This window comes from Homo sapiens, chromosome 16, assembly GCF_000001405.40.
Source record: "Homo sapiens chromosome 16, GRCh38.p14 Primary Assembly".
Taxonomy (NCBI): domain Eukaryota; kingdom Metazoa; phylum Chordata; class Mammalia; order Primates; family Hominidae; genus Homo; species Homo sapiens.
Window position 1 is genome coordinate 34,160,008 of NC_000016.10, and position 21,915 is coordinate 34,181,922.

The window sequence follows — 21,915 nt, forward strand, 5'->3', positions numbered from 1 at the left end:
GGCCTGGAGGCCGCTTTCTACCTACTTGGTTGATCCTACCAGTACCATATGCTTGTCTCAAAGATTATGCCATACATGTCTAAGTAGGCAGGGCCGGTACAGTGAAACTGCGAATGGCTCATTAAATCAGTTATGGTTCTTTTGGTCGCTCGCTCCTCTCCTACTTGGAAAACTGTGGTAATTCTAGAGCTAATGCATGCCGAAGGGTGCTGACCCCCTTCGCGGGGAAGATGCCTGCATTTATCAGATCAAAACCAACCCGGTCAGCCCCTCTCCGGCCCCTGCCTAGGGGTCGAGTGCCACCGGCTTTGGTGACTCTAGATAGCCTCGGGCCAATCGCATGCCCCCCTGTGGCAGCAACGACCCATTCGAACGTCTGCCCTATCAACTTTCGATGGTAGTCGCTGTGCCTACCAAGGTGACCACGGGTGAAGGAGAATCAGGGTTCGATTCTGGAGAGGGAGCCTGAGAAATGGCTACCACATTCAAGGAAGGCAGCAGGCATGCAAATTACCCACTCCTGACTCGAGGAGGTAGTGATGAAACATAACAATACAGGACTCTTTCGAGGTCCTGTAATTGGAATGAGTCCACTTTAAATCCTTTAACGAAGATCCATTGGAGGGCAAGTTTAGTGCCAGCAGCCGCGGTAATTCCAGCTCCAATAGCGTATATTAAAGTTGCTGCAGTTAAAAAGCTCCTAGTTGGATCTTGGGAGCGGGCGGGCAGTCCGCCATGAGGCGAGCCACTGCCCGTCCCCGCCCCTTGCCTCTTGGCGCCCCCTCGATGCTCTTAGCTGAGTGTTCCGCGGCCCAAAGCGTTTACTTTGAAAAAATTAGAGTGTTCAAAGCAGGTCCAAGCCGCCTGGATACCGCAGCTAGGAATAATGGAATAGGACCGCGGTTCTATTTTGTTGGTTTATGGAACTGAGGCCATGATTAAGAGGGACAGCTGGGGGCATTTGTATTGCACCGCTAGAGGTGAAATTCTTGGACCGGCGCAGTTTGGACCAGAGTGAAAGCATTTGCCAAGAATGTTTTCATTAATCAAGAATGAAAGTCGGAGGTTCGAAGACGATCAGATACCGTGGTAGTTCTGACCATAAACGATGCCGACTGGCAACGTGGCGGTGTTATTCCCATGACCCGCTGGGCAGCTTCCAAGAAACCAAAGTCTTTGGGTTTTTAGGTTCCGGGGGGAGTACGGTTGCAAAGCTGAAACTTAAAGGAATTGGTGGAAGGGCACCACCAGGAGTGGAGCCTGCGGCTTAATTTGACTCAACATGGGAAAAATCCCCCGGGCCGGACAGGGACAGGATTGACAGATTGATAGCTGTTTCTCTGTTCCATGGGTGGTGGTGCATGGCCTTAGTTGGTGGAGTGATTTGTCTGGTTAATTCCAATAACCAACGAGACTCTGGCATGCTAACTAGTTACGTGACCCCCGAGCGGTCGGCGTCCCCCAACTTCTTAGAGGGACAAGTGGCCTTCAGCCACCCGAAATTGAGCAATAACAGATCTGTGATGCCCTTAGATGTCCGGGACTGCACGCGCGCTACACTGACTGGCTCAGCGTGTGCCTACCCTACGTGGCAGAGGCGGGTAACCTGTTGAACCTCATTCGTGATGGGGATGGGGGATTGCAATTATTCCCCATGAAGGAGGAATTTCCAGTAAGTGCGGGTCATAAGCTTGCCTGAAGTCCCTGCCCTATGTACACACTGCCCGCCTCTACTACTGATAGGATGGTTTAGTGAGGCCCTCTGATCAGCCCCGCCGGGTCAGCCCACTGCCCTGGTGGAACGCTGAGAAGACAGTCGAACTTGACTATCTAGAGGAAGTAAAATTCGTAACAGTTTCGGTAGGTGAACCTGTGGAGGGATCATTAACGGAGAAGAGCCTCGAAGCCGCGGCGGCGAAGCCACGGCGGCGCCGCCGCGTCCTTCCTCCTTGGCAGACCCTGTTCCCCGTGTGGCGCGTGCGCGGGCGGGGTCGTGCCCTTTGTTTGTTGCATGGCCCCGCCTGCCCTGAGAGCCGGAGAACTCGGGAGGGAGAGGGGGGGAGAGAGAGACACGCGTGCGGGGACGAAACCTTGTGTTCGTGTCGTGGGGCAGGCTGGATGGCTCGCCAGCCTGGTGAGTATCGGGGAGCGCCCCCCTGCCGTGGCCCCTACATGTGAGTCGGCGGGCGCGGGGATGGTTCTCGGCGTCATGGCGGGGTGGGGGTCTCGGTGCCCTCCCTGCCGGAGCCGTCGTCCCGCCCTGTCCCACCAGCTCGGCCCCATCCCGCCGGCTCCCGTTGGGGCCGGCCGGGTTCCCATTGCTGCCGCTGCCGCCATCCTTGCCTCTGCCACACCGCGCCACCGGGCCCGGCCTGGCCCGCTTGCTCTCTCCAGCCTTCCCGCTAGGGCGTCTCGAGGGTAGGGGGCCGGACGCCTGTCGCCCCCTCCTCGTCCGCCCCCGCCGTCCAGGTACCTAGCGCGTTCTGGCGCGGAGGTTTAAGGACCCCTTGGGGGGTTGTCCGTCCGCCCATGGGTCGGGTGCGGTGGGCCCGCGGGGGAGTCCGTTCGGGAGGGGCCCGCCCCTCCCTCGCCTCCCCCGCCGACTCCATCCCCTCGGCCAGCCGGGGCCGCGCCTCACTTTCAAGTCGCCGCTGACGCTGGTGGGGGCTTTACCGGCGGCCGTCGTGCCATCGCGCGCCTGCCGCGCGTATGGCCTGTGCACCGTGCTGTGGGGGCGGGAATCCCCGGGCGCCCGTGGGGTGCTGTCAGTGTTCGCCCTCCGCCCCCGTGGTCGACACCGCCTCCCTGTGTTGTGAAACCTTCCTACCCCTCTCTGGAGTCTGGTCTCGTTGCTGTCTGACTGGCGGGCCTGAGGGAAACCCTCTGGCGGACGTGCTGTGCCAGGAGGGCCTCCTGGTGTTGGGAGCGCCCTTGCCAAATCCACCTTGTATGACTTTTAGCGGTGGATCACTGGGCTTCTGTGTCGATGAAGAACGCAGCTAGCTGTGAGAACTAATGTGAATTGCAGGACAGATTGATCATCGACACTTCGAACGCAATTGCAGCCCGGGTTCCTCCCAGGGCTTTGCCTGTCTGAGCGTCGCTTGCCGATCAGTAGTCCCCGGGGGTGCCTCCGGGCTCCTCGGGGTGCATGGCTGGGGGTTCCCTGACGTGGCCTGCCGGGGCCCTCCGTCCCCCCAAGTGCAGACCGGCGACGTCCGCCCTCCTCTGCCGCCGTGCCCGCCCCTTCTCCCTCCCCCCGCAGGCCCTGTGTGGTCACGCATTGGGTGGCATGGGGAAGGGGGACTCCCGGCTGTGAGGAAGAGAGAGAGGGCGGCACCGCCACCCGCGAAAACAGAGAGGGAAGAGAGCCGGCTGGGGCCGAGTTCCCGTGGCCACCACCGCGGTCCAGATTCCTCCCTCGGAGGCTCCCTCGCGCCTCACGCAGCTCGTGGTGCGGGGTTCGTTGGCCCTGGCGGGGTGGAAGGTCCCGTGCCGTCGTTGTCGATCGTCGTGGGTAGTGGGGGCTTGTTGCCGGGGGGAGGAAGGCAAGTAGGAAGGATCCGCCAGGGAGAGGGTGGGGGAGCCCGTCCCGGTCGCCGCGGTTCGCCGCCGCCCCTGGTGGCGGTCCGGCGACCGGCCCACCATCGCTCCAGCGCCCCTCCTCCCCAACACCCCTCCGAGGCACAGTCCTCCTAGCCCGCCCGCCCCCCGCCTACCCGGCGCGCGTCGCGGTTGTGTCTGGGGCCGGAAGCCCGCCACGCGGCCCGTCTGGCAGCGCTAGTGGCCGCGGTCCTGGGGTTCACGTGCCCCTGGCGGTGACTCGCTGGATGCTGCAGTGTCGTCCGCCATCGCGCGCCCGCCTCCGACTCTCGGCCGCGCGGTGCCTGGGGCCCGGTCTGTAGCTTCCACGTCGGGGAAGGGCGTCGCCGCCGCTTCCTCGGACCCGTCCCCCACCTCCATTTAGTACGTAGGCAATCCCATGTAACTTAGCAAAGCTAGCAAGTCCCTAAACTCGGCGCAGCGACTGTAGGGGTGGCCTCCCAGTAGCATCATTAACATCAATTGTAATTGGTAGGCAATCACTTAGTTTCACATTTCATTACCCAAGGTATACAAATGTGTAAAAAAAAATACAGTTTTAATAAAAGGGAGTAAAGGATAATATGAGTAATATTCACAATCTCTAGCTGGAAGAGGTAGTGTTTTCTCAGAAATGATGCATTCCTGGAGCAAGGTCATTTTGTGTTTGGTTTGTTAAATATCTATTTCCATTTTGACAAACCACTGGAAAAGCCCAGCTTCACAAGGACTCCCCCATAAGAACGATCACACAAAAGAACACCCATAACACAAAATCAAAACAAGGATGGTCCAGGCGTCACATTAAAGGCTCATTACCAAGTTTTCTTAGAAGAGAAAAAGAGCACAAAGTTACTTTTATGTGATGGAAAACAGAGAAAAAGAGTAAATGGAACAACAAATGTTAGGCAACAACAGTGAAAACCAAGCCGTGGAAAGAAATGAATGGAAATGTTTTGTTTGGTATTGATTTCCTATCCTGATATCAGAAAGTATGGGAAAGAACAAAGCACATTTTTTTGAGACAAATAGAACATAAAACAAATGAATGTTAAAGACTATTTTACAGTGCTAACAAAACTATCTGTGACTTGTTTTTTCCCTTTAAAAATACGATTTTGTACAATTACATTTATATAAACTATTGAAATAAAATTGTAAAGATGGAGAACAGGCTATGGGATTGCCAAGGGGAAGGGGTGGAGGAAAACGTGTCAGAGTGTCAGCAAAGATCGCAAGTTGGAGCCTGGTGGTGAGGCTACTGTTCTGCATCTTGACTGTCGAAGTGGTAGTTACAGAGATCTACACCACATAAAAATGAACAGAACAAACGCACACACATACACACATACAAAAATGAATGCATGCAAAACGGTTGCGATCTGAGTAAGCTTTCTGAATTGTACCTATGTCAGTTTCCAGGTTTTGATAATGCTCTATGGCTATGTGAGATGTCACCACTGGAATTAGTGAAGAGTACCTAAGACATCCCTGTACCTTTTGCAACTTCCTGTGAATCTATAATTATTTCAAAAGAAACTTGAAAGTCATAGCAGACTTTCACTTCAAGGAGGAAAAAAACTGAAGATTAATGAAATTGTTGAAGAACATCAAATACTCAATAGTCTGTATGAGAGCTGTATTCTGTCCACTTGCAGCACAGCTGTCATTTAGCCTTTTCCTGATGTGCCCTGGAGGACTTGAGCTCCTCTTGGATTGCCAAGGCCGATAGTGTTTATTTGTTACTAACTTTGTACTGAACACCCCCAAAATGAAAAATGATTGAATAATCATTTATAATAGCAACTAGTAATTTTACTTATAAAGAGACAATAGTGGTAATGAATTTAAATATTTAGGGTAAAGAATAGGATCTTCGTTAGACAATACTGGCAAAATTTAGAAAGAAAAATAAGGAATCAGAAACATAAGTAGTTCAGTATTGTGAAAAAATTCTGGATCTGAGAAGCAAAAGAACAGAGATTGTATTGCATTTCTGCTCCAAACTTGATGAATCACCTTAGATGTGTTGTGTTTCTGTGCCAAAGCTGCTGAATCACCTTAGGCAATGCATGCCCTTTCCCTGAACCTGTTTTCTTTTCTACAAAATAAAGTGAGCTAGATCATCTCCGAGGTCCCCCAAATATTCACATTTTCGGCTCTACATGAACTTCAGTTGAATTCCTAATTTCAGTGTGGATAATACATGTGTGCTGCACCACAAGCAGTGTGTCTAAATGCTGATGTTGGTCCTAAAAACTAATTATGGGCAGTTTGGAAATTCTGTTGTTGTAGAATCTGCAAAGGGATATTTGTGAGCCCTTTGAGGCCATGGTGAAAAAGGAAATACCTTCACATAAAAACTATAAAGAAGGTTTGTGAGAAACTGCTTTGTGATGTCTGCATTCATCTCACCAAGTTAAACGTTTCATTCCTTTGATCAGTCTGGAAACTCTGTTCTTGTGCAATCTGCAAAGTGGTATTTGTGAGTGCTTTCAGGCCTATGGTAAGAAAGGAAATATCTTCACATAAAAACTAGACAGACACATTCTGAGAAACTACTTTGTGACGTGTGCATTCATCTAACAGAGTTAAACCATTCTTTTGATGGAAATGCTTGGAAATGGTGTTTTTGTAGAATCTGCAGAGGGATATTTGTGAGCACTTTGAGGCCTATGGTGAAAAAGGAAATATCTTCACATAAAAACTAGAAAGAAGGTTTATGAGAAACTGCTTTGTGATGTGTGTATTCGTCTCAGAGAGTTGAACCATTCTTTTGATTGAGCAGTTTGGTAACCGTCTTTTTGTAGAATATGCAAAGGGATATTTGTGAGCACTTTGAAGCCTATGGTGAAAAAGGAAATATCTTCACATAAAAACTAGAAAGAAAGTTTCTGAGAAACTGCTTTGTCATGTGTGAATTCATCTCACAGAGTTGAACCTTTCTATTGATTGAGCATTTTGGAAACAGTCTTTTTGGAGAATCTGCCAAGGGATATTTGTGAACACTTTGAGGCCTATGGTGAAAAAGGAAATATCTTTACATAAAAACTAGACAGAAGGTTTCTGAGAAACTGCTTTGTAATGTGTGCATTCATCTCAAAGAGGTAAACGTTTCTTTTCATTGAGCAGATGGGAAACTGTTTTCTTGTAGAATCTGCAAAGGGATATTTGTGAGCAGTTTGAGGCCTATGGTGAAAAAGGAAATATCATCGCATAAAAACTTGACAGAAGTTTCTGAGAAACTTCCTGGTTATGTATGCATTCATCTCACAGAGTTGAACCATTCTTTTGATTGAGCAGTTTGGTAACAATCTTTTTGTAGAATCTGCAAAAGGATATTCGTGAACGCTTTGAAGCCTATGGTGAAAAAGGAAATATCTTCACATAAAAACTAGAAAGAAGGTTTCTGAGAAACTGCTTTGTGATGTGTGAATTCGTCTCACAGAGCTAAACCTTTCTATTGATTGAGCATATTGGAAACAGCCTTTTTGTAGAATCAGCAAAGGGATATTTGTGAGCACTTTGAGGCCTATGGGGAAAAAGGAAATATCCTCACATGAAAACTAGACAGAAGGTTTCTGAGAAACTGCCTTGTAATGTGTGCATTCATCTCACAGAGGTAAATGTTACTTTTCATTGAGCAGATGGGAAACTCTTTCCTTGTAGAATCTGCAAAGGGATATTCGTGAGCCCTTTGAGGCCTATGGTGAAAAAGGAAATATCTTCATATAAAATGTAGACAGAAGCTTTCTGAGAGACTTATTTGTGATGTGTGCATTCATCTCATAGAGTTGAACCATTCTCCTTTTTTTTTTTTTTTTTTTTTGGAGCTCTGGGTTTATTTATTTATTTACTTTTATTATTATTATACTTTAAGTTTTAGGGAACATATGTACAATGTGCAGGTTTGTTACATATGTATACATGTGCCATGTTTGTGTGCTGCACCCATGAACTCATCATTTAGCATTAAGTATATCTCCTAATGCTATCCCTCACCCTCCCCCCACCCGACTACAGTCCCTGGTGTGTGGTGTGTGATGTTTCACTTCCTGTGTCCATGTGTTCTCATTGATCAATTCCCAACTATGAGTGAGAACATTTGTTTGATTTTTTGTCCTTGCGATAGTTTGCTGAGAATGATAGTTTCCAGCTTCATCCATGCCCCTACAAAGGACATGAACTCATCATTTTTTATAGCTACATAGTATTCCATGATGTATATGTGCCACATTTTCTTCATCCAGTCTATCATTGTTGGACATTTAGGTTGGTTCCAAGTCTTTGCTATTGTGAATAGTGCCACTATAAACATACGTGTGCATGTGTCTTTATAGCAGCATGAATTATAATCCTTTAGGTATATACCCAGTAATGGGAAGGCTGGGTCAAGTGATATTTCTAGTTCTAGATCCCTGAGGAATCACCACACTGACTTCCACAATGGTTGAACTAGTTTACAGTCCCACCAACAGTGTAAAAGTGTTCCTATTTCTCACATCCTCTCCAGCACCTGTTGTTTCCTGACTTTTTAATGATCGCCATACTAACTGGTGTGAGATGGTATCTTGTTGTGGTTTTGATTTGTATTTCTCTGATAGCCAGTGATGATGAGCATTTTTTCGTTTGTTCATTGGCTGCATAAATGTCTTCTTTTGAGAAGTGTCTGTTCATATCCTTCAACCACTTTTTGACGGGGTTGTTTGTTTTTTTCCTGTAAATTTGTCTGAGTTCATTGTAGATTCTGGATATTAACCCTTTGTCAGATGAGTAGGTTGCAAAAATTTCCTCCCTTTCTGTAGGATGACTGTTCACTCTGATGGTGGTTTCTTTTGCTGTGCAGAAGCTCCTTAGTTTAATTAGATCCCATTTGTCAATTTTGTCATTTGTTGCCATTGCTTTCGGTGTTTTAGACATGAAGTCCTTGCTCATGCCTATGTCCTGAATGGTATTGCCTAGGTTTTCTTCCAGGGATTTTATGTGAAGCATTCTTTTGATTAATCAGTTTGGATACTCTGTTCTTGTAGAATCTGCAAGGAGATATTTGTGAGCACTTTGAGGCCTTTGGTGAAAAAGGAAATACCTTCACATAATAAATAGACAGAAGTTCTCTGAGAAACTTCCCTGTCATGTGTGCATTCATCTCACAGAGTAGAAACAGTCTTTTTGCTGAGCAGTTTGAAAACTGTCTATTTGTAGAATCTGCAAAAGGATATTTATGAGTGCTTTGAGGCCTATGGTGAGAAAGGAAATATCTTTACATAAAAACTGGACAGAAGATTTTTGAGAAACCTCTTTGTGATGTGTGCATTTATCTCACAGAGTTGAACCATTCTTTTGATTGAGCAGTTTGTAAACAGACTTTTTGTAGAATCTGCAAAGGGATATTTGTCAGCTGTATGAGGCCTATGGTGAAAAAGGAAATATCTTCAATAAAAACTATAAAGAATGTTTCTGAGAAGCTGTTTTGCAAGATGTGCACTCATCTCAGAGAGATAAAAGTTTCTATTCTGTGATGAGTCTGGAAACTCTGTTCTTGTAAAATCTGCAAAGGGATATTTGTGAGTGGCTTTAGGCCTATGGTGAAAAAGGAAATATCTTCACCTAAAAACGAGACAGAAGCATTCTGAGAAACTTCTTTGTGATATGTGCATTCATCTCACAGAGTTGAACCACTCTTTTGATTGAGAAGTTTGGAAACAGTCTTTTTGTAGAATATGCAATTGGATATTTGGAGCGCTTTGAGGCCTATGGTGAAAAAGGAAATATCTTCACATAAAAACTACACAGAAGCATTCTGAGAAACTTCTTTGTGATGTATGCATTCATATCATGCAGTTGAACCTTTCTTATGATTGAGCAGTTTCAAAGCAGTCCTTTTGTAGAATATGCAAAGGGATATTTGTGAGCCCATTGGGGCCTATGGTGAATTAGGAAATATCTTCACATAAAAACTAGTCAGAAGATTTCTGAGAAACTTCCTTGTGATGTGTGATTTCATCTCACAGAGATGAAACTTTCTTTTGATTGAGCAGTTTGGAAACATACTTTTTGTAGAATCTGCAAATGGATATTTAGAGCGCTTTGAGAACTATGGTGAAAAAGGAAATATCTTCACATAAAAACTAGAAAGCAACATTCTATGAAACTTCTTTGTGATGTGTGCTTTCATCTCACAGAGTTGAACCTTTCTATTCATTGACCAGTTTGGAAACCATCTTTTTGTAGAATCTGCAAATGGATATTTGGAGCATTTTGAGGCCTTGGTGAGAATGGAAATATCTTCACATAAAAACTAGATAGAAGCATTCTGAGAAACTTCTTGGTGACGTGTGCATTTATCACACAGAGTTATACCTTTCTTTTGATTGAACACTTTGGAAACAGTCTTTTTGTAGTATCTGTAGAGGGATGTTTGCGAGCAGTTTGAGGCCTATGGTGAAAAAGGAAATATCTTCACATAAAAACTAGACAGAAGGTTTCTAAGAAACTTATTTGAGATGTGTGCTTCCATCTCACATAGTTGAACATTTGATTGGGCAGTTTGGAAACACTCTTTTTGTAGAATCTGCAAATGGATATTTGGAGCACTTTGAGGCCTATGGTAAAAAAGGAAATATCATCACAAAAAATTAGACGGAAACATTCTGAGAAACTTCTTTGTGACGTTGGCATCCATCTCACACAGTTGAACATTTCTTTTATTGAAGATTTGGAAACAGTCTTTTTGTAAAATCTACAAAGGGATAATTGTGAACCCTTTGAGGCCTATGGTGAAGTAGGAAATATCTTCACATAAAAACTACACAGAAACATTCTGAGAAACTTTTTTGTGATGGGTGCATTCAACTCACAGAGTTGAAGCTTTCTTTTGCTAGAGCAGTTTGGAAACAGTCCTATTGTAGAATCCCCAAAGGGATATTTCTGAGCCCATTGAGGCCTTTGGTGATATAGGAAATACCTTCACATAAAAGCTAGACAGAAGCTTTCTGAGAAACTTCTTTTCAATGGGTGCTTTCATCTCAAAGAGTTGAGTGTTTCTTTTGACTGAGAAGTTTGGAAACACTCTTTGCATAATCTGCAAATGGATAATTGGAGCATTTTGAGGCCTATGGTGAAAAAGGAAATATCTTCACATAACAACTAAACAGAAGCTTTCTGAGAAACTACTTTGTAATGCGTGCATTCATCTCACAGAGTTGAAACTTTCTTTTGATTGAGCCGTTTGTAAACAGTCTTTTTGTATAATCTGCAAATGGATATTTGGAGTGCTTTGAGGCCTATAGTGAAAAAAGAAATATCTTCACAAAAAAACTAGAAAGAAACATTCTGAGAAACTTCTTTGTGATATGTGCTTTCATCTCACAGAGTCGAACCTTTCTTTTCATTGAGCAGTTTGGAAACAGACTTTTTATAGAATCTGGAAATGCATATTCGGAGTGCTTTGAGGCCTATGGTGAAAAAGGAAATATCTTCAGATAAACACTAAACAGAAGCTTTCTGAGAAACTTCTTTGTGATGTGTGCATTCATATCACAGAGCTGAAACTTTCTTTTGATTTAGCAATTTGGCGAAAGTGGAGTTATATTTGTGAGCGGTTTAAGGCCTATGGTGCAAAAGGAAATACCTTCACATAAAAAGTAGACAGAAGCTTTCTGAGAAACTTCTTTGTGATGTGTGCTTTCGTCTCACAGAGTTGAGCCTTTCTTTTGATTGACCAGTTTGGAAACATTCTTTTTGTAGAATCTGCAAATGGATATTTGGAGAGATTTGAGGCCTATGGTGAAAAAGGAAATATCTTCACATAAAAACTAGACAGAAGAATTCTGAGAAACTTCTTTGTGATGAGTCCATTCATCTCACAGAGTTGAAACATTTTTTGATGGACCAGTTTGGAAATAGTCTTTTTGTAGTATCTGCAGAGGGATATTTTTGAGCTGTTTAAAGACTATGGTGAAAAAGAAAATATCTTCACTTAAGAACTAGACAGAAGCATTCTGAGAAACTTCTTTGTGATGTGTGCATTCATCTCACAATGTTGAACCTTTCTTTTGATTGAGCAGTTTGGAAACAGAACTTTTGTAGAATCTGTAATGGGATATTTGTAAGCCCATTGATTCCTATGGTGAAATAGGAATTATCTTGAGATAAAAACTAGACAGAAGATTTCTGAGAAACTTCTTTGTGATGTGTGCTTTCATCTCACAGAGTTGAAGATTTTTTTTGATTGAGCAGTTTGGAAACAGTCTTTTTGTATAATCTGCAAATGGATATTTGGAGCACTTTGTGGCCTAAGGTGAAAATGGAAATATCTTCACATAAAACCTAGACAGAAGAATTCTGAGAAACTTCTTTGTGATGTGTGCATTCATCTCAGAGAGGTGAACTTTTCTTTTGATGGAGCAGTTTGGAAACAGTATTTTTTTAGTATCTGCAGAAGGATATTTGTTAGCGGTTTAAGGCCTATGGTGAAAAAGTAAATATCTTCACATAAAAACTAGAAAGAAGCTTTCTGAGAAACCTCTTTGTGATGTGTGCATTCATCTCACAGTGTTGAAACTTTATTTTGCTTGAGCAGTTTAGAAACAGTCTTTTTCTGCAATCTGCAAAGGTATATTTCTGAGCCATTTGAGGTCTATGGTGAAAAAGAAATATCTTCACATTTAAACTAGACAGAAGGATTCTGAGGAACTTCTTTGTGATGTCTCCATTCATTTGACAGAATTGAACGTTTCTTTTCATTCAGAAGTTCGGCAATGGTATTTTTGTAGAATCTGCAAAGGGATATTTGTGAGCCATTTGAAGCCTATAGTGAAATAGTAAATATCTTCACATAAAAACTAGACAGAATAATTCTGAGAAACTTCATTCTAATGTGTGCATTCACCTCACAGAATTTAGCCTTTCTTCTGATTGAGCAGTATGGAAATGGTCCTCTTTTAGAATCTGCAAAGGGGTATTTCTTAGCCCTTTGAGGCCTATGGTGAAACTGGAAATATCTTCACATGAAAACTAGACCGAAGCTTTCTGAGAAACTTCTTTGAGATGTGTGCTTTCATCTCACAGAGTTAAACCTTTCTTTTGATTGAGCAGTTTGGAAACACTCTTTTTGTGAAATGTGTAAGTGGATATTAGGAGTGCTTTGAGGCCAATGGTGACAAAGGAAATATCTTCACATAAAAACTAAACAGAAGTTTTCTGAGAAACTACTTTTTGATGTGTCCATTATCTAACAGAGTTGAAACTTTCTTTTTATAGAGCGGTTTGGATACAGTCTTTTTGTAGAATCTGCAAAAAATATTTGTGAGCACTTTATTGCCTATGGTGAAATAGGAATTTTCTTCACATATAAACTAGACAGAAGCATTCTGAGAAACTTCTTTGTGATGTGTGCATTCATCTCACAGAGTTGAAACTTTCTTTGGATTGAGCAGTTTGGAAACAGTCCTTTTGTAGAATCTGCAAAGGGATATTTCTGAGCCCATTGAGTACTATGGTGAAATGTGAAATATCTTCACATAAAAACTAGACAGAAGCTTTCTAAGAAACTTGTTTGTGATGTATGCTTTCATCTCACAGAATTGAAACTTTCTTTTAATTGAGGAGTTTGGAAACACTCTTTTTCTAGAATCTGCAAATGGATATTTGGAGCGCTTTGAGGCCCATGGTGGAAAATGAAATATCTTCACATAGAAACTAAATAGAAGTTTTCTGAGAAACTTCCTTGTGATGTGTGCATTCATCTCACAGAGTTGAACCTTTCTTTTGATTGAGCAGGTTGGAAAGAGGCTTATTGTACAATCTGCAAAGGGATAATTCTGATACATTTGAGGCCTATGGTGAAAGAGAAATATCTTCACGTAAAAACTAGACAGAGTCAGTCCGAAAAATTTCTTTCTGATGTGTCCATTCATCTCACAGAGTTGAACGTTTCTTTTGATTAAGCAGTTTGGAAACAGTCTTTTTGTAGAACCTTCAAAGGCATATTTGTGAGCCCTTTATGGCCTCAGGTGAAATAGGAAATATCTTCACATACAAACTAGAGAGAAGCTGTCTGAGTAACTTTTTTGTGATGTGTGCTTTCATCTCAGAGATCTAAAAATTTGTTCTGATTGATCAGTTTGGAAACAGTTTTTTTGTAGAATCTGCCAATGGATTGCTTTGAGGCCTATGTTGAGAAAGGAAATATCTTCACATAAAAACAAGACAGAAGATTTATGAGAAACTTCTTTGTTATGTGTGCATTCATCTCACAGGTTTGAACCTTTCTTTTGATTGAGCAGTTTGGAAACAGTCTTTTAGTACAATCTACAAAGGGATATTTCTGAATGGTTTGATGCCTATAGTGAAAAAGAAATATCTTCACATAAAAGCTAGACAGAAGCGTTATGAGAAAGTAATTTATTATGTGTGCATTCATCTCACAGAGCTGAACCTTTCTTTTCATGGAGCAGTTCAAAAACTGTGTTTTTGTACAGTCTGCAAAGGGATATTTGTGAGACCTTTGAGGCCTATGGTGATATAGGAAATATCTTCACAAAAAAAGTAGACAGAAGCATTGTGAGAAACTTCTTTGTGATGTGTGCTTTCTTCTCACAGATTTGAATCTTTCTTTTAATTGAACAGTTTGGAAACTCTCTTTTTGTAGATTCTGCAAAAGGATAATTGGAGCACTTTGAGGCCTATGGTGAAAAAAGGAAATATCTTCACTTAAAAACTAAACAGAAGCTTTCTGAAAAACTTCTCTGTGATGTGCATATTCATGTCATAGTGTTGAACTTTTGTTTTCATTGAGCAGTTTGGAAACCATCTTTTTGTACAATCTGCAAAGGGATATTTCTGAGCGGTTTGAGGCCTAAGGTGAAAAACAAATATCTTAACATAAAAACTAGACAGAGGCATTCTGAGAAACTTCTTTTTCATGTGTGCATTCTTCTTCCAGAGTTAAACCATTCTTTTCATTGAGAAATTCAGAAATAGTCTTTTTGTAGAATTTGCAAAAGGATATATGTGAGCCCACTGAGGCCCATGATGAAATGGGAAATATCTTCACAGTAAAACTAGACAGAAGCATTCTGAGAAACTCCTTTGTGATCTTTGCATTCATCTCACAGAGTTGAAACTTTCTTTTGATTGAGCAGTTTGGAAAAACTCTTTTTGAAGTATCTGCAAATGGATATTTGGAGTGCTTTGTGGTTTGTGGTGTAAAACTAAATATCTTCACATAAAATCTAGTGAGAAACTTTCTGAAGAACTTCTTTGTGATGTGTGCTTTCATCTCACAGAGGTGAAAATTTATTTTGATTGAGCAGTTTGGAAACAGTCTTTTGTAGAATCTGTAAATCGATATTTGGATCACTTTGAGGCCTATCATTAGAAGGGAAATATCTTCACATAAAAACTAGACAGAAGGATTCTGAGAAATTTCTTTGTGATGTGTGCTTTTTCATCTCACAGAGTTGAACCTTTCTTTTGATGGAGCAGTTAGGAAACAGTCTTTATCTACAATCTGCAAAGGGATATTTCAGAGGGGTTTGAGGCCTACAGTGAAAAAGAAATATCTTCATATAAAAACTAGACAGAAGCATTCTGAGAAACTTCTTTGTGATGTGTACTTTCATCTCACAGGTTTGAACCTTTCTTTTGATTGAGCAGTTTGGAAACAGTTTTTTTGTACAATCTACAAAGGGATATTTCTGAACGGTTTGTTGCCTATGGTGGAAAAGAAATATCTTCACATAAAAACTAGACAGAAGCATTCTGAGAAACTTCTTTTTTATGTGTGCATTCGTCTCACAGAGTTGAACTTTTCTTTGCATGGAGCAGTTCAAAAACAATCTTTTTGTAGAGTCCACAAAGGGATATTTGTGAACTCTTTCAGGCCTATGGTGAAATATGAAATATCTTCACATAAAAACTAGACAGAAGCATTATGAGGAACTTTTGTGATGTGTCCTTTCATCTCACAGAGTTGAACATTACTTTTGATTGAGCAGTTTGGAAACACTCTTTTGTAGAATCTGCAAATGGATGTGTGGAGTGCTTTGAAGCCTATAGTGAAAAAGGAAATATCTTCACATAAAAACTAAACAGAAGCTTTCTGAAAAACTTCTTTGTGATGGGTGCATTCATCTCACAGAGTTGAACCTTTTTTTGGTTGAGCAGTTTGGAAACAGTCTTTTTGTGGAATCTGCAAATGGATATTTGGAACGCTTTGAGGCCTATTGTGAAGAAGGAAATATCTTCACATAAAAACTAGACAGAAACTTTCTGAGAAACTTCTTTGTGATGTTTGCATTCATCTCACAGAGTGGAACCTTTCTTTTCATTTGACAGTTTGGAAACAGTCTTTTTGTACAATATGCAAAGGGATATTTCTGAACGGTTTGAGGCCTATGGTGAAAAATATATATGTCAGATAAAACTAGACAGAAGCATTCTGAGAAACTTCTTTTTCATGTGTGCATTTATCTCACAGAGTTGAACCCTTCTTTGCATGTAGCTGTTTGGAAACAGTCTTTTTCTACAATCTGCAAATGGATATTTGGAGCACTTTGAGGCCTGTGGTGAAAAAGGAAATATCTTCACATAAAAACTAGACAGAAGCATTCTGAGAAAGTTCTTTGTGATGTGTGCATTCATCTCACAGAGACGAAAGTTTCCTTTGATAGAACACTTTTCAAGCAGTCTTTTTGTAGTATCTGCAGAGGGATATTTGGGAGTGGTTTAAGGCCTATGGTGAAAAAGGAAATATCTTCACATAAAAACTAGACAGAAGCATTCTGACAAACTTCTTTATGATGTGCACATGCATCTCACAAAGTTGAACCTGTCTTTTCATTGAGCAATTTGGAAAAGTCTTTTTGTTCAATCTGCAAAGGGATATTTTTTAGTCATTTGAGGCCTATGGTGAAAAAGACATATCTTTACACATAAACCAGACAGAAGCTTTCTGAGAAACTTCTTTGTGATGTGTCCATTCATCTCACAGAGTTGAACCTTTGTTTTGATTGAGCTGATTGGAAATACTCTTTCTGTAGAGTCTGCAAAGGGATATTTGTGAGCCCTTTATGGCCTATGGTGAAATAGGAAATATCTTCACATAAAAACTAGACAAACATTCTGAGAAACTTATTTGTTATGTGTGCTTTCATCTCACAGAGTTGAAACTTTCTTTTGATTGAGCACTTTGAAAAGAGGCCTTTTGTAGTATCTGAGAAGAGATATTTTTGAGCCCATTGAGGCCTATGGTGAAAGAGGAAATATCTTCACATATAAGCTAGAAAAAAACTTTTTGAGAAAATTCTTTGTGTGTGTGCTTTCATCTCACAGAGTAGAATCTTTCTTTTCATTGAGCAGTTTGGAAACAGTCTTTTTGTAACATCTGCATAGGGATATTTCTGAGCAGTTTGAGGCCTATGGTAACAAAGAAATATCTTCACATAAAAACTAGACAGAAGCATTCTGAGAAACTTCTTTTTTAGGTGTGCATTCATCTCACAGAGTTGAAACTTACTTTTCATTGAGCAGTTCTGTAACAGTCTCTTTGTAGAATCTGCAAAAAGGATATTTGTGAGCCCTTTGAGGCCCATGGTGAAACAGGAAATACCTTCACTTAAAAACTAGATGGAAGCATTCTGAGTAACTTCTTTGTCATTTGTGTTTTCATCTCACAGAGTAGAACCTTTCTTTTGATTGAGCAGTTTGGAAAAAGTCTTTTTGTACAATCTACAAAAGATATTTTGTGCACTTTGTAGACTATGGTGAAAAAGGAAATATCTTCACATAAAAACTAGAAAGAAACTTTCTGAGAAAGTTCTTTGTGATGTGCACTTTCTTTTTATTTTATTTTATTTTATTATTATTATACTTTAAGTTTAAGGGTACATGTGCACAATGTGCAGGTTACTTACATATGTATACATGTGCCATGCTGGTGTGCTGCACCCATTAACGCGTCATTTAGCATTAGGTATGTCTCCTAATGCTATCCCTCCCCCCTCCCCTCACCCCACAACTGTCCCCAGAGTGTGATGTTCCCCTTCCTGTGTCCATGTGTTCTCATTATTCAATTCCCAACTATGAGTGAGAACATGCGGTGTTTGGTTTTTTGTCCTTGCGATAGTTTACTGAGAATGATGATTTCCAATTTCATCCATGTCCCTACAAAGGACATGAACTCATCATTTTCTATGGCTGCATAGTATTCCATAGTGTATATGTGCCACATTTTCTTAATCCAGTCTATCATTGTTGGACATTTGGGTTGGTTCCAAGTCTTTGCTATTGTGAATAGTGCCACAATAAACATACGTGTGCATGTGTCTTTATAGCAGCATGAAACCAATGAGAACAAAGACACAACATAACAGAATCTCTGGGACACATTCAAAGCAGTGTGTAGAGGGAAATTTATAGCACTAAATGCCCACAAGAGAAAGCAGGAAAGATCCAAAATTGACACACTAACATCACAATTAAAAGAACTAGAAAAGCAAGAGCAAGCACATTAAAAAACTAGCAGAAGGCAAGAAATAACTAAAATCAGAGCAGAACTGAAGGAAATAGAGACACAAAAAACTCTTCAAAAAAGTAATGAATCCAGGAGCTGGTTTTTTGAAAGGATCAACAAAATTGATAGACCACTAGCAAGACTAATAAAGAAGAAAAGAGAGAAGAATCAAATAGATGCAATAAAAAATGATAAAGGGTACATCACCACCTATCCCACAGAAATTCAAACTACCATCAGAGAATACTACAAACACCTCTATGCAAATAAACTAGAAAATCTAGAAGGAATGGATAAATTCTTTGACACATACACCCTCCCAAGACTAAACCAGGAAGAAGTTGAATCTCTGAATAGACAAATAACAGGCTCTGAAATTGAGGCAATAATCAATAGCTTACCAACCAAAAAGAGTCCAGGATCAGATGGATTCACAGCCAAATTCTACCAGAGGTAAAAGGAGGAACTGGTACCATTCCTTCTGAAACTATTGCAATCAATAGAAAAAGAGGGAATCCTCCCTAACTCATTTTATGAGGCCAGCATCATCCTGATACTAAAGCTGGCAGAGACACAACCAAAAAAGAGAATTTTAGACCAATATCCTTGATGATCATTGATGCAAAAATCCTCGATAAAATACTGGCAAGCTGAATCCAGCAGCACATCAAAAAGATTATCCACCATGAACAAGTGGGCTTCATCCCTGGGAGGCAAGACTGGTTCAATATACACAAATCAATAAATGTAATCCAGCATATACACAGAACCAAAGACAAAAACCACACAATTATCTCAATAGGTGCAGAAAAGGCCTTTGACAAAATTCAACAACCTTCATGCTAAAAACTCTCAATAACTTAGGTATTGATGGGACGTATCTCAAAATAATAAGAGCTATCTATGAAACTTCTTTGTGATGTGTGCATTTATCTCACAGAGTTGAACCTTTCTTTTGATTGGGCAGTTTGGAAACAGTCTTTTTGTAGAATCTGTAAAGTGATATGTTTCAGCGGTTTGAGTCCTATGGTGAAAAAGGAGATATCAAAAAATAAAATGTAGACAGCAGCTTTCTGAAAAACTTCTTTGTGATGTGTGCATTCATCTCACAGGGTTGAAACTTTCTTTTGATTGAGCAGTTTGGAAACAGTCTTTTCATAGAACATGCAAAGTGATATTTGTGAACTGTTTGAGGCTTATGGTGAAAAAGGAAATATCTTCACATAAAAACTAGACTCATGTTTTCTGGGAAACTTCTTTGTGATGGGTGTATGCATCTCAAAGAGTTGAATCTTTGTTTTGATTGAGCAGTTTGGAAACACTCTTTTTGGAGAATCTGCAAAGGGATGTTTTTGAGTGGTGTGAGGCATGTGGTGAAAAAGGAAATATCTTCATATAAAAACTAGACAGAAACATTATGATAAATCACTTTGTGATGTGTGCATTCATCTCACAGAGTTGAATTTTCTTTCATTGAGCAGTTTGGAAACAGTCTTTTTGTAGAATATGCAAAGGGATATTTGTGAGCTTTTTGAGGCCTATTGTGAAAAAGGAAATCTCCACAAATAAAATCTAGACAGAACCCTTCTGAGAAACTTCTTTGTGATGTGTGTGTTCATCACACAGAATTGAACCTTTCTTTTGATTGAGCAGTTTGGAAACAGTCTTTTCATAGAATCTGCAAAGGAAAATTTGTGAACGCTTTGAGGCTCATGGTGAAAAAGAAGTATCTTCACATAAAAACTAGACAGAAACCTTCTGAGAAACTTCTTTGTGATATGCACTTTCATCTCACACAGCTGAACTTTCGTTTGATTGAGCAGTTTGGAAACTGTCCTTTAGTAGAATCTGAAAACGGTTATTTATGAGCAGTTTGAGGCCTACGGTGAAAAACGGAGTATCAACAAATAAAACCTAGACAGAAACTTTCTGAGAAACTTCTCTCTGATGTGTGCATCCATCTCACAGAGTAAAAACTTTCTTTGATTGAGCAGTTTGGAAACAGTCTTTTTGTAGAATCTGCAAAGGGATATATGTAGGCAGTTTCAGGTCTATCATGAAAACGGAAATATCTTCACATAAAAACTAGACAGAAGGTTTCTGAGAAAATTCTTTGAGATGTGCTCATTCATCTCACAGATTTGAAGTGTTCTTTTCATTGACCAGCTTGGATAGAGTCTTTTTGTAGAATCTGCTTTGTGATATTTGTGAGCCCTTTGAAGCCTATGGTGAAAAAAGAAATATCTTCACACAAAAACTAGACAGAAGTTTCTGAGAAACTTCGTTGTGATGTGTGCATTCATCCCAAAGAGTTGAACCTGTCTTTGGATTAAGCAGTTTGGAAACAGTCCTTTGTAGAATGTACAAAGGGATATTTGAGATCCCTTTTTGGCCTATGGTGAAAAAGGAAATGTCTTCACATAAAAACTAGACAGAAGCATTCTGAGAAACTTCTTTTTGATCTGTTCATTCTTCTCACAGAGTTGAACCTTTCTTTAGATAGAGCAGGTTGGAAAATGCCTTTTTGTAGAATCTGCAAGTTGATAATTTGAATGCTTTGAGACTTACGGTGAAAAAGGAAATATCTTCACATAAAAACTGGATGGAAGCTTTCTAGAAACTTCTTTGTGATGTGTGCATTCATCTCAAAGAGTTGAAGCTTTGTTTCAGTTGAGCAGTTTGGGAACAGTCTTTTTGTAAAATCTGTAAAGGGACATTTGTGAGCACTTTGAGGCCTATATTGAAAAAGGAAGCATCTTCAAATAAAAACTAGACAGAAGCTTTCTGAGAAACTTCTTTGTGATGTGTGCATTCACCTCACAGAGTTGACCCTTTCTTTTGATTGAGTAGTTTGGAAACACTCTTTTTGTAGAATCTGCAAAGGGTTATTTATGAGTGGTTTGAGGCCTATGGTGAAAAAAAGAGTATCAGCAAATAAAAACTAGACAGAAACTTTCTGGGAAAATTCTCTGTAATGTGTGCATTCATCTCACAGCGTGGAAGCTTTCTTTGATTGAGCAGGTTGGAAATAGTCTTTTTGTAGAATCTGCAAAGGGATATATGTGGGTGGTTTGAGGTCTATCGTGAAAATGGAAATATCTTCACATAAAAACTAACTGTTCAATGGGAAGAAACTTTTACTTGAGTGTGATGAATGCACACGTCACAAAGGAGTTACTCAGAAAACTTCTTTCTACTTTTAATGTGAAGATATTTCCTTTTTCACCATATGCCTCAACACACTCCCAGATATCCCTTTGCAGATTCTACAAAAAGACTGTTTCCAAACTGCTCAATAAACAGAATGGTTCAACCCTGTGAGACGAATGTGCACATCACAAAGAAGTTTCTCAGAAAACTTCCTTCTCGTGTTTATGTGAAGATATTTCCTTTTTTAACATAGGCCTCAATTCACTCTCAAATATACCTTTGCAGAATCTACAAAAAGACTGTTTCCAAAGTGCTCAATCAAAAGAAAGTTTCAACTCTGTGAGATGAATGCACACATCAGAAAGTAGTTTCTCAGCAAGCTTCTCACTAGTTTTTATGTGAAGATAGTTCCTTTTTCAATGTGGGTCTCAAAGCACTCAAAAATATCCCTTTGCAAACTCTAGAATAACAGAGTTTACAAACTGCTCAATGAAAAGAAACGTTTACCTCTGTGAGATGAATACACATATCTTAAAGCAGCTTCTCAGAATGCTTCTTTCTAGTTTTTATGTGAAGATATTTCCTTTTTCACCATAGGCCTCAATGCACTCCTAAATATCCCTTTGCAGATTGTACAAAAAGACTGTTTCCAAACTGCTCAATCAAAA

General features: G+C 40.7%; 1 non-coding gene and 2 pseudogenes across 1 annotated transcript, besides 5 other annotated features; all 3 read left to right on the forward strand.

Moving 5' to 3' along the window:
* Window positions 23–1,887, forward strand: LOC110262331 (RNA, 18S ribosomal pseudogene; annotated as a pseudogene).
* On the forward strand, window positions 2,952–3,103 carry RNA5-8SP2 (RNA, 5.8S ribosomal pseudogene 2; annotated as a pseudogene).
* Window positions 3,571–3,666, forward strand: MIR9901 (microRNA 9901). The gene has a single exon (NR_162093.1). It is a non-coding gene; the product is annotated as a microRNA 9901 (primary transcript).
* Window positions 7,065–7,630: an enhancer, noted in NCBI's record as "OCT4-NANOG hESC enhancer chr16:33969539-33970104 (GRCh37/hg19 assembly coordinates)". NCBI's record gives its function as "activates a minimal SCP1, AML or CMV promoter by ChIP-STARR-seq in naive H9 embryonic stem cells {active_cell/tissue: H9 hESC(naive)}" and the evidence as "EXISTENCE:reporter gene assay evidence [ECO:0000049][PMID:30033119]".
* Window positions 11,494–12,294: an enhancer, noted in NCBI's record as "OCT4-NANOG-H3K27ac-H3K4me1 hESC enhancer chr16:33973968-33974768 (GRCh37/hg19 assembly coordinates)". NCBI's record gives its function as "activates a minimal SCP1, AML or CMV promoter by ChIP-STARR-seq in naive H9 embryonic stem cells {active_cell/tissue: H9 hESC(naive)}" and the evidence as "EXISTENCE:reporter gene assay evidence [ECO:0000049][PMID:30033119]".
* Window positions 12,295–13,093: an enhancer, noted in NCBI's record as "OCT4-NANOG-H3K27ac-H3K4me1 hESC enhancer chr16:33974769-33975567 (GRCh37/hg19 assembly coordinates)". NCBI's record gives its function as "activates a minimal SCP1, AML or CMV promoter by ChIP-STARR-seq in naive H9 embryonic stem cells {active_cell/tissue: H9 hESC(naive)}" and the evidence as "EXISTENCE:reporter gene assay evidence [ECO:0000049][PMID:30033119]".
* Window positions 13,094–13,893: an enhancer, noted in NCBI's record as "OCT4-NANOG-H3K27ac hESC enhancer chr16:33975568-33976367 (GRCh37/hg19 assembly coordinates)". NCBI's record gives its function as "activates a minimal SCP1, AML or CMV promoter by ChIP-STARR-seq in naive H9 embryonic stem cells {active_cell/tissue: H9 hESC(naive)}" and the evidence as "EXISTENCE:reporter gene assay evidence [ECO:0000049][PMID:30033119]".
* Window positions 21,121–21,748: an enhancer, noted in NCBI's record as "OCT4-NANOG hESC enhancer chr16:33983595-33984222 (GRCh37/hg19 assembly coordinates)". NCBI's record gives its function as "activates a minimal SCP1, AML or CMV promoter by ChIP-STARR-seq in naive H9 embryonic stem cells {active_cell/tissue: H9 hESC(naive)}" and the evidence as "EXISTENCE:reporter gene assay evidence [ECO:0000049][PMID:30033119]".